Here is a 12,748-nt window from a genome sequence, read left to right as displayed (position 1 = left end):
GCAAGGAACATGTAGCCTAGCAAGAGGGCACCTGGCACAGCCGGCACAGGGACCAGAGGGCGGGGCTGAGGCCGGGCATGGCATGCACTTGCCATCTGGCTACTCTGAGTACGTACCCCAAAATGGCTGTTTACACTTTTTCTTTTCCTTTGTTTTTTCCTATTCTGATAACAAAATCCATATATATTTAACATAGAGAATTTAAAAGACATAGTATGAAAAGTTAAATTAAGTTACCTATAATTCCACAGGCTATGGGGTAAATATTCTGATGTTTTCCTTTCCAGATTATTTTCTTTGTATGCATATATATGTAAATAAATACTTAAATTTGGGATCTTATTATTTCTATTATTTTGATTAATTCTTTTTATTTTTTGTAGAGATAGGGTCTCACCATGTTGCCCAGGCTGGCCTCAAACTCCTGGGCCTAAGTAATCCTCCTGTCTCGGCTTCCCGAAGTGTTATTATAGGAGTGAGGCACTGTGCCCAGCCTAAGAATTTTTTTTTTTTTTTGAGACGAAGTCTCACTCTGTTGCCCAAGCAGAGTGCAATGGCGTGATCTCAGCTCACTGCAACTTCCACCTCCCGGGTTCAAGCGATTATCCTGCCTTAGCCTCCCCAGTAGCTGGGAATACAGGCACGCACCACCATGCCTGGCTAATTTTTGTTATTTTTAGTAGAGACGGGGTTTCACTATGTTAGCCAGGCTGATTTTGAACTCCTGACCTTGTGATCCACCTGCCTCAGCCTCCCAAAGTGCTGGGATTACAGGAGTGAGCCACCACGCCCAGCAAGAATTTTTTTTTTTTTTTTAAAGAGAGAGTCATGGTCTGTCAACCAGACTGGAGTGCAGTGGTGCAATCGTAGCTCACCTCTCATGCCAGCCTTCTGTGTAGCTGGTGTTATAGGTGTGCACCACCAGGCCCAGCTAATTTTTAAATTTTTTTTGTAGAGATGGGGTCTTGCCATGTTGCCCGGGCTGGTCTTGAACTTTGGGGCTCAAGTGATCCTTCTGCCTCGGCCTCCCAAAATGCTGGGATTACAGGTGTGAGCCACAGTACCCAGCCAGAAAAGAAAATTTAAAGGCTTCATAACATTCCCTACCAGTTAGATGTACCAAAATTTAATGATATATTCATAATTTTATGGTTTGCATTTAAATTTTTATCTTATGATATATTTCAAACACAAAGCATGATAATACCACACTGCTCATCCTTAACGCCTTCACCTAACATGAACAAATCCCAACGGTTTCGCCATATTTGTTAGTGGACCAAAATGTTTCTGTCACAGAGGCTCAAGCCCGCAGGCCTCCTTACCCTTAAATCAGAGGAGGACACTGCCACAAGTTGCTATTTGTACTTCATATGTCCGTAAACAGTATATAGTATCTTCTGAGGCTTGTTGGTAACTTTGCAGTTTGCCTTTTAACATTTGCTTTTATGATACACCCAGGTTGAAACATGTAGCTATACTTCCTTTAGTCTCTACTTTCCAGTGAAACTTAACCAGACACAGTATACCCCACAGAGTATTTATCCATTCTCCTGTTGGTGGACATTTCTTTTGTTTCCAATTTGTGGTAAACACAATGTTGCTGTACACATCCTTATACAAATTTTCTCCCTCAAACGCTGAGTTTTTTTGCAATCTAATCCTAGAAAGGGAAAACTGAGCCACAGGCATGAGCATTTAAAATTTTTCTAAATGCTCTCCTGAGTAGCTGTTCTACTTACACTCCTACTAGCAGCATATTAATATCCTGCAATTTCCATTTACCATACTGTGACCATTTCCCCAGGATATCAAACTTTTTTTTTTTTTTTTTTTTTTTTAAGACAGAGTCTCATTGTGACTCCCAGGCTGGAGTGCAGTGGTGCACCTCTGCTTACTGCAAGCTCCACCTCCCGGGTTCACACCATTCTCCTGCCTCAGCCTCCTGCGTAGCTGGGACTACAGGTGCCTGCCACCATGCCTGGCTAATTTTTTGTATTTTTTTTTTTTAGTAGAGATGGGGTTTCATGGTGTTAGCCAGGATGGTCTCAATCTCCTGACCTTGTGATCCCCCGCCTCGGCCTCCCAAAGTGCTGGGATTACAGGCGTGAGCCACTGTGCCCGGCCATTCCCTAGGATATTAATCTTTTTTAGTGGTTGTTTAATATCCCTTCCTATGGCTTTGCCAAATTTTATGCAAAGACGCTTCTGCTGTTGGACATAGGTTTGTTTCCTAACTTTGTGGTAGCGCAAATATGGTTTTGACAAAAACCTTTTTTTTTTTTTTTTTTGAGAGAAGGTCTCACTCTGTTGCCCAGGCTGGAACGTAGTGGTGTGATCACGGCTCACTGCAGCCTTGACCTCCCGGGCTCAAGCAATCCTCCTGCCTCAGCCTCCTCAGTAGCTGGGACTACAGATGTGTACCACCACGCCTGGCTAATTTTTGTTTTGTTTTGTTTTGTGTAGAGACAGGGTCTCACTTTGTTGCCCAGGCTGGTCTTGAACTCCTGAGCTCAAGCAATCCTCTTGCCTTGGCCTCCCAAAGTATTGGGAACAGGTTTGAGCCATTGCATCTGGCAGACAAAGAGTCTTATGAAAAAATATTTACCATCAGATGGCTTCCTTAGGTGAAATTTCTGGAAGGGAATTTCTAAGTATGTTCTAAAAGAAATAAGAGACTCAGCTAAGAAGTTACTTCCTCTCCTTCTACAGATCTTCCTGATGCCACACTACCTCATGAGCAATGAGTCAAAGCAGTAAAGAGATAAAGAAAATATTAGCAAAATCTAACTCTATATTTATGTTTAATGGCTTTTACATAATCTCCCTTCTCACACTGACTAAAGAAATGATCAGAAATAGTCAGACACTGATGAGATTAAAAAAAAAATGGTGTATCAGAGCCTGACACATAAGAGAGCCCTGAACAATCTCAGCTGGTATTGAAGCCAGCATTGCCCATCTTGGGCTTCAGCATGTAAAGAAGGGCCTGCAGCAGGAAGTCAGTGATCATAACATGCCTTACTGCTAGAACCTCACAGAAAGAAACCCATTTTGCAAGGTTGAGGTCTCAGCTGCCCTCTCCAATGTTCACCACTGTTATGAGCTTCTGTGCCTTCATGCACATATGGATGGCAGCACACATGACGGAGGTGCACTCTACCAGCAGGATTATCTACTTGGGTGGATGTGCACACACGTGTGATGGAGATGCACTCTACCGGCAGGGTTATCTATACTAGTGGCTGTGCATACACACATATGACAGAGGTATACTCCAAATATACGCTGTACTTTTTTCCACTATGGGTGTATTAATAATACCTCTTAGTATATTATTTGAGGCAGCTATACTTACCACTATACCACCAATGTACTCTCTTAGTATACTTTTGGGAGTTAGTGTTTTAGTAGGAAAATCTCGCTAAGAGGAAAAGCTGGTCTGGGAGACAAAGGAACCTTTAGGGCCAAATGGTTTCTCCTCTCACCTCTAGCCCTTCTCACCCCTCCCATTTACTTCAACCCTGACAACTCGTTCACTAGCTGTGCCAATACTTCCAATGAGGAGGAATCCAAAACTTCTGGAGGAGCTGGTTCCCCTGTTGGAACAGGTCTCACTGTTAGGAGTTCTTCCTTTCATTCAACTAATATCTGCTTCTTGGGTAATTGTAGCCACCCACTGGAGCTAACTCTGTCCATTAGATGCTTTGCTACTCAATCATTTATATTTGAAAATAGTATCCAAGTGCAAAAGAATGAAGCGGGACTCCTTTGCACCATGCACAAAAATTAACTCAAAACAGATCATAGATGTAAGGGCTAAAACTATAAGACTCAGAAGAAAGCATAGGAGGTAAAACTTTGTGACCTCGGATTAGGCAAAGCCTTCTTGGATATGACACCAAAAATCACAAGCAACAAAAGAAAAAACAGATAAATTATGCTTGATAAAAAATAAAACTTTTGTGCTTCCAAGGACACCAAAATTGTCCCATATTTGCAAATCATCGGATACATGGCTCATATCCAGAATATATAAAGAACTCTTACAACTCAACAATAAAAAGACAATCCAGTCAAAAAATAGGCAGAGGATCTGAATAGAAATTTCCCCAAAGATATACAAATAGCCAATAAGCAAATGAAAAGACACACACATCATTAGTCATTAGGGAAATGCAAATTAAAACCAAAATGAGATATCACCTCACACCTTCTAGGATGGCTAGAATAAAACAGACAATAACAAGAGTTGGTGAGGACATGAAAAAACTGGAATCCTAGCTGGGGGTGCGGTGGCTCATGTGTGTAATCCCAACATTCTGGGAGGCTGAGGCAGGTGGATAACTTGAGGTCAAGAGTTCAAGACCAGCCTGGGCAACATGGCAAAACCCTGTTGCTACCAAAAAAAAAAAAAAAAAAAAAAAAAAGAAAAAAAAATTAGCTGGGAGTGGTGGTGCGTGCCTGTAATCCCAGCTACTTGGGAAACTGAGGCAGAAGAATCGCTAGAACCTGGGAGGCAGAAGTTGCAGTGAGCTAAGACTGTACCACTGCACTCCAGCGTGGGTGACGGGGTAAGACCCTGTCTCAAAAAAAAAAAAAAAAAAAAAAAAAGGAACCCTGATATATTTCCAGTGGGAATGTAAAAATGGCACAGCCACTTTGAAACAGTCTGAGATTTCCACAAAAAGTTGAACACAGAGATACCACATGATCTAGCAATTCTACTCCTACGTATATACCCGAAAAGGAATTCAAACATATGTAGACACAGGCTGGGCACAGTGGCTCATGCCTGTAATAAGAGCACCTTGGGAGGCTGAGGCAGGTAGATCACCTGAGGCCAGGAGTTCGAGACCAGCCTGGCCAACAAGGCGAAACCCCATCTCTACTAAAAATACAAAAATTAGCCGGGCATGGTGGTGCACACCTACAGTCCCAGCTACTCGGGAGGTTCAGGCACTAGAATCGTTTGAACCCGGGAAGTGGAGGTTGCAGTGAGCTGAGATTATGCCACTTGCACTCCAGCCTGGGCCACAGAGAGGAGAGTAGGTGGCACAAAAAACAAACAACAACAAAAAATGTATATATAAGGCCTGGCGCTGTGGCTCACGCTTGTAATCCCAGCACTCTAGGAGGCCGAGGCTGGCGGATCATGAGGTCAGGAGATCGAGACCATCCTGGTTAACAGGGTGAAACCCCATCTCTACTAAAAATACAAAAAATTAGCTGGGCATGGTGGTGGGTGCCTGTAGTCCCAGCTACTTGGGAGGCTGAGGCAGGAGAATGGCGTGAACCTGGGAGGCAGAGCTTGCAATGAGCCGAGATCACACCACTGCACTCCAGCTTGGGCGACAGAGCGAGACTCCGTCTCAAAAAAAAAAAAAAAAAGTATATATAAACACTTGTACATAAATGTTCACAGCAGCATTATTTTATTTCTTTATTTTTTGAGACAGAGTCTTGCTCTGTCACCCAGGCTGTGGTGCAATGGCGTGATCTCGGCTCACCGCAATCTCCGCCTCCCAGGTTCAAGCGATTCTCCTGCTGCAGCTTCGAGAGTAGCTGGGATTACAGGCACGAGCCACCACGCCTGGCTAATTTTTGTATTTTTAGTAGAGACGGGGTTTCATCATGTTGGCCAGGCTGGTCTTGAACTCCTGACCTCAGATGATCCACCTGCCTCGGCCTCCCAAAGTGCTGGGATTACAGGTGTGAGCCACCATGCCCAGCCCACAGCAGCATTATTTATAATAGCCCAAAAGTAGAAACAATCTAAACGTTCGCCAACTGATATAGGGCACATATTGTATGATTCAATTAATATGAACTTTACAGAATAAATACATCTATAGAGACAGAAAGTAGATTAGTGGTTGCTTAGGGCTTGGGAGGATGGAGGGGTAGGAGTAAGATAACTAAGGGATGCAAGGTTTTTCCTTGAGGTGATGAACACTCTGAAATCAACTGTGATAGTTGCACGTATTTATAAATATACTAAAAACCACTTAATTGCAGACTTGTGAAAGGGGTAAATTACATGATAAGTGAACTACATTTAATAAAGCTATTAAAAAATACAATTTAAAAAAGTTGAGCAGGCGGGTGTGGTGACTCACGCCTGTAATCCCAAGCACTTTGGGAGGCTGAGGAGGGTGGATCACTTGAACTCAGGAGTTCAAGACCAGTCAACATGGTCAACACAGTGAAACCCTGTCTCTACAAAAAAAACCATAAAAATTAGCCAGGTGTGGTGGTGCATGGCCATAGTCCCAGCTACTGAGGAGGCTGAAGTGGGAGGATTGCTTGAGCCTCGGAGGTGGAGGCTGCAGTGAGTCTAGATTGTGCCCCTGCACCCCAGCCTGGGCAACAGAGTTAAGAACCTGTCTAAAAATTTAAAAAACAAAAAAAATTTCTTTTTTTTTGGCTGGCCATGGTGGCTCATGCCTGTAATCCCAGCACTTTGGGAGGCCAAGGCAGGCGGATCACTTGAGCTCAGGAGTTCAAGACCAATCTGGCCAACATGGTGAAACTCTGTCTGTACTAAAAATACAAAAATCAGCCAGGGGTGGTGGCAAGCGCCTGTAGTCCCGGCTACTCAGGAGACTGAAGCAGGAGAATCGCTTGAACCTCGGAGGTGGAGGTTGCAGTGAGCCAAGATCACTCCACTGCACTCTAGCCTGGGTGACAGAGCCAGACTCCATCTCAGAAAAAAAAAAAAAAAAAAAAAATTAAAAAAAATTTTTTTAAAAACATGAGCATATCCCAAACAGAAATCCCAAAGAAATTCATGCCAAGATACATCAAACTTCTGAAAACTAGACAAAGAAAAATATGGCCGGGTGTGGTGGCTCATGCCTGTAATCCCAGCACTTTGGGAGGCTGAGGCGGGTGGATCACCTGAGGTCAGGAGTTTGAGACTAGCCTGACCAACATAGTGAAATCTGTCTTTACTGAAAATACAAAAATTAGCTGGGTGTGGTGGCAGGCGCCTGTAGTCACAGCTACTCAGGAGGCTGAAGCAGGAGAATCCTTGAACCCAGGAGGTGGAGGCTACAGTGAGCCGAGATCATGCCATTGCACTCCGGCCTGGGCGACAGAGCAAGACTCCGTCTCAAAAAAAAAAAAAAAAAGAAAAAAAGAAAATAAAAACCTTCCCACAAAGAAAACTGTAAGCCCAGAAGTCTTTCAGTGGTGGATTCTACCAATCATTTAGGAAGGGAATAATATTAATTATACAGAAACTCATTCAGAATATAGAAGAGGAACCTCCTCTTAACATTTCACGAGGCCAGCATTACCCTGATAGCAAAACCAGATAAAGGCATTACAACAAAAGATCAATACCCCTCATGAACATAAGACAAAAATTCCACATTTGAAAATTAATGTACTTCATCATTAGCAAACTATATGGTCATCTCAATGGATGCAGAAGAGCACTGACAAAAATAAGCATCCATTCATTATATATACTGTCCACAGATTAGAGACAGAAGGGAACTCCCCTAGCCATGGTAAGGGACATCTACAAAAAAGCTACAGCTGACATCATACTTAATGATCAAATACTAAACACTTTCTTCCAAAAATTGGAAACAAGAAAAGGATGTCCGTTTTTATCCACTTTGACACTGTGCTGAGGTCCTAGCCAGTGCAATAAGAAAAAAGAAAATACAAAGCATAGATACATGTGGATTGGAAAGGAAGGAAAATAACTTTCTCTATTTGAAGTCACATGACTGTCCATCCAGAAAGAATCCTCAAAAAAAAAAAGAAAGAAAGAAAATTAGAACTAATAAGCAGTTACTCAAAAAGTTAAAAATAGAACTATCATATGATGTAGCAATTCCACTCCACTTCTGGATATATACTCCAAAGAACGGAAAGCAGGATTTCAGTCAGGCACAGTGGCTCATGCCTGTAATCCCAGCACTTTGAGAGGCCTCAGAGGAGGGACTGCTTGAGCCCAGGAGTTCAAGAGCAGCCTGGGCAACATAGAGAGACCCTAACTCTACAAGAAAATTGAAAAAAAAAATAGCTGGGCATGGTGGTGCACACCTGTAATTCCAGCTATTTTGGAAGCTGAGGTGGGGGGACTGCATGAGCCCAGGAGTTGGAGGCTGCAGTGAGCTATGATCACACCACTGCACTTCAGCCTGGGCAACAGAGCAAGACCCCGTCTCAAAGGAAAAAAAAAAAGAAAGCAGGGTGTCAAAGAGATATATGGACAGACATGTTCATAGCATCATAGCAGCATTATTCATAACAGGAAAATGTGGAAGTAACCCAAGTATCCACTGATGAATGAATAAGCAAAATGTGATATATTTTACTTATAGAGTGGAATATTATTCAGCCTTAAAAAGGTAGGAAACTCTAACACATGCTATAACGTGGATGGACCTTGAGGACATTCTGCTAAGTGAAATAGCCCAGGCACAAAAAGACAAATACTATGATTCCATTTATATGAAGTCCTTAGAGTACTCAAAATCATAGAGACAGAAAGTAGAGTGGATAGTTGCCAGGGGCTGGGGGTCAGGGAAGCAAGGACTCGGAGTTCATGTTGAATGGGTATGGAATTTCTGTTGGAGACGAAACAGTTTTGGAGATGGGTGGTGGTGATGGTTGCACAATATTATGAATGTATTTAATACCACTAAACTGTTCACTTAAAAATAGTTAACAATGTAAATTTTATGTATATTTTACCCTAGTAAAAAAACAGAAAAAAGGCCAGGAGCGGTGGCTCATGCCTGTAATCCCAGCACTTTAGGAGGCTGAAGCAGGCGGATCATGAGGTCAGGAGTTCATGACCACCCTGACCAATATGGTGAAATCCCATCTCTACTAAAAATACAAAAATTAGCCAGGTGTGGTGGCACGTGCCTGTAATCCCAGCTACTTGGGAGACAGACAGGAGAATCGCTTGAACCTGGGAGGTGGAGGTTGCAGTGAGCCAAGATCACGCCACTGCACTCCAGCCTGGGTGACAGAGCAAGACTCTGTTTCAAAAAAAAAAATAGAAAAAAACTCAGTTCAGTAGTGAGGTTGGTTTTTTTTAGACATCTCTGTTCCCTTGGTACAGGGAACTTTTCAGGTTTTCTAACACTATTCTTTCAAAGAAAGCAGATCAAATACTGACTCTTATCATTTCCTCTAGTAAGCTATTCAATCTCTCTGCTCCTCAATTTTCACTTCTGTAAAATGGGAATAGTACCACTCACTGCATGGGTAACTACCCTACAAATTAAGTTAATATACATAAAGTACCTAATTCAGCATCTGGGACACAGTAGGCAGTAAGTGGTAGCTTTTACCATATTGTGTGTTATATTTGCACTGGATAATGTTCTTACCCTCTCTTAGTATTTGACCTCTTAAATTTTGAGCTCTTTAGTATTTGCTACTTAGTGAGCATATTTACTTATTTAAATTTAAATTTTTCCCTCTCTCTACTTCTTGCTGAGACAGCTGCATGTGTTTCTCTGTCCTCCTCTAATCAATTCTAAACTATAACAAATCATCTTTATAACCAACCAGTATCTCATCACTTCCTTGCGTCAGTCTCTCCAATGGCCTCCCAATGCCATTGGGAGCTTTCCTCAGGCGCTGGCTGATGGCAGTTCTCTCTTGCACTAACGATGAGCTGCGATGGCCTTGTCCACTCCTTCAGACACTAGGACCTCTCTCCTGACTTGATCTGATGCTCCCCAATATTTGCCTACCTGACCTTGAAGTTTCCATTTAAATGTCAAATCCTCAGTGACTTGTCTGCTGACTAACCCAGTATCTTGCAGAACACCTCCCACACCCACTTCATGGCACTGTCTATGAGCCCCCTGACCCTGCACTAAACTATAAGGTCTGTGATGATAGGGAGCACACCGGTGCTCTGCCTGGTACCTAGGAGAGTGCCTAGAGTTAAAAGGCACTAGAATATCTGTTATGGAAACTTCACACGCATCGATGAGGGGAACCCTTAGCTACGGCTGGTGGAAGAATCTAACAGGTGATATGTATCAGGCCTGTGCAGAAATATTCATGAGAATGTTCATCACAGCCTTACTGAAAATAAAAAATGAGAATCCTAAGAGTCCATTTTATGAAACAAGTTATAAGATATTTCTATTAAAATTATTTTAAAAGGGTACGTAATGATATGAGCAAATATGTGGTAAATAAGAGTGGATATAAAGCTGTGTACATGGAACCCAGTTTCTTAAAGAAAGAGAACGTCCCCATGCACAGGCCATCTGTATGCCTGTGGAACCAGAAGAAAATATTCTTGTCGGGCATGGTGGATCACACCTACAATCCCAGTGCTTTGGGAGACCAAGATGGGAGGATCACTTGAAGCCAGGAGTTCAAGAGCAGCCTCGGTAACAGAGTGACATCCCGCCTCTACACAAAATAAAAAAAAATTAGTCAGGAGTGGTGGTGCACGTCTATAGTCCTTGCTACTCGGGAGGCTGAGGCAGGAAGATGCTTGAGTCCATGAGTTCAAGGCTGCAATGAGCTATCATCATGCCCCTACACTCCAGCGTGAGCTATGGGGCAAGACTGGTCTCAAACAAACAAACAAAAATCTAAAACAATAATGCCATCTTAAAAATAATGTATTAAAATCTATTTTTTTCTTTTTTATTTATTTATTTACTTATTTATTTTGAGACAGAGTCTTGCTCTGTCATCCAGGCTGGAGTGCAGTGGCGTGATCTCAGCTCACTGTGAGCTCCACCTCCCGGGTTCACGCCATTCTCCTGCCTCAGCCTCCCAAGTAGCTGGGACTATAGGTGCCCGCCACCACACCCGCCTAATTTTTTTGTATTTTTAGTAGAGACGGGGTTTCACTGTGGTAGCCAGGATGGTCTCGATCTCTTGACCTCATGATCCGTCTGCCTCGGCCGCCCAAAGTGCTGGGATTACAGGTGTGAGCCACCACGCCCAGCCTATTTATTTTTTTCAAGACAGGGTCTCACTCTGTTGCCCAGACTAGAGTGCAGTGGCATAATCATGGCTCACTGCAGCCTCGACCTCCCAGGTTCAAGTGATCCTCCTATCTCAAACCCCCAAGTAGCTAGGACCACAGGCATGCACCACCATGCCTAATTTTTTTAATTTTTTTTTTAGACAGACTCCTGCTCTGTCGCCCAGGCTTAGTGGTGTGATCTTGGCTCACGGTAACCTCCGCCTCAAGGGTTTCAAGTGATTCTTGTGCCTCAGCCTCCCAAGCAGCTGGGATTACAAGTGCGCGCCACCAAGCAGGTAGCTTTGTATTTTTAGTAGAGATGAGGTTTCTCCATGTTGGCCAGGCTGGTCTCGAACTCCTGGCCTCAAGTGATCTGCCCACCTTGGCCTCCCAAAGTGCTGGGATTACATTTGTGGGCCACCATGCCCGGTGCTAACTTTTTTTCTTTTCTTTTTTTTTTTTGAAATGGAGTTTCGCTCTTGTTGTCCAGGCTGGAATGCAATGGCGCAATCTTGGCTCACTGTAACCTTCACCTCTCGGGTTCAAGCAATTCTCCTGCCTCAGCCTTCCAAGCAGCTGGGATCACAGGCATGTGATCCCATGGCTAATTTTGTATTTTTAGCAGAGACGGGGTTTCACCACATTGGCCAGGCTTGAACTCCTGACCTCAGGTGATCCACCTGCCTCGGCCTCCCAAAGTGCTGGGATTACAGGACTGAGCCACTGCACCCGGCCACCCAGTGCTAATTTTTCAATTTTTTTGCAGAGAAAGGGGGTCTCACTATATTGCCCAGACTGGTCTCAAACTCATGGGCTGAAGCAATCCTCCTGCCTTGGCTTCCCAAAGTGCTACGATTACAGGCGTGAGCCACTGCACCTGGTTTTTAATAACAGATGTATTTTTATAATCAGAAAACAGTGAACGTCCTAAATGACTCAGAGATGTCATTCTAAGTAAGACTGATGTGAGCAGCAAAGCCGCAGGCTGGTGTGAGGTACCTGGTTGTTGACGACCACGTGCACGGTGCCATGAGTTGTGTAGGATGGCAGGTCGCTGAGGTGGAAGGTCTCGTACACAATGCCCTGGCCAGCAAATGCAGCATCCCCATGCAACAGGATGGACATGACCTGTAAACACCAAAGGAGACCCCAAATCCAGAATGTTCTGATTGCCAAGTCCACAAGGTAAACAGAGGAAATGCATCATTTGTTTTTCAAAAAATAACGTTTTGAGATAATTTCAAACATAGAAAGTAGCAGGAAAGTCCACAGGGCCCCAAATCCCCAACATGCTAGCACCTTGGTATATCTGCTCAACACCAACACACCCTGCCATCATCATCTGTTCTCAGCACTGAAAGAGCTGTAGACCTGATGCATTGCTAGGACACTCTCCAACATGACTACCCGGACCCTCTGTTCCGGGAGGGCAGCACTAGCTTAGCCATTGGCCCCAGACCCCACATGGGAGGGCAGCATCACTTGCCAGGTCTCTTTGGCTCCTCCAACCAGGAGCAGCTCCTCATCCTTCTTGTCTTTGCACCCTTGACAGACCTTGGGTCCCCACTTGGGAAGGACATACTGCATCAGGTCAGGTTAACTCTGCTCACCTGGGAGGCTGCTGTCTGCTATCCTCCCTTTCACTCACCATTGTTTTCCTTGGCAATGAGTATAGTGGTAGTATTTTGTGAGAAGAAACTTTACATCCTGTTCCTCCTCAAACCTCCACCCCAGCCTCAGCAGTATTGACAACTGCGTCTGAACCAGCCCCTT

General features: G+C 43.8%; 1 protein-coding gene across 9 annotated transcripts in view; it reads right to left on the bottom strand.

The window, feature by feature from the left end:
- Positions 1-12,748, bottom strand: part of OGDH (oxoglutarate dehydrogenase) — a 102,440-nt gene that overhangs the window by 15,244 nt on the left and 74,448 nt on the right. For all 9 annotated transcript variants that reach the window (NM_001439009.1, XM_011515408.3, NM_001439008.1 and 6 more), the window contains one exon: positions 11,975-12,103. In NM_001439009.1, coding sequence (NP_001425938.1) covers positions 11,975-12,103 — 129 coding nt within the window. The remainder of the gene's footprint in view (positions 1-11,974; positions 12,104-12,748) is intronic.

Source organism: Homo sapiens, chromosome 7 (assembly GCF_000001405.40).
Source record: "Homo sapiens chromosome 7, GRCh38.p14 Primary Assembly".
Lineage (NCBI taxonomy): Eukaryota > Metazoa > Chordata > Mammalia > Primates > Hominidae > Homo > Homo sapiens.
Note: the sequence above shows the minus strand (reverse complement) of the source record. Positions and strands in the feature narration are given on the sequence as shown.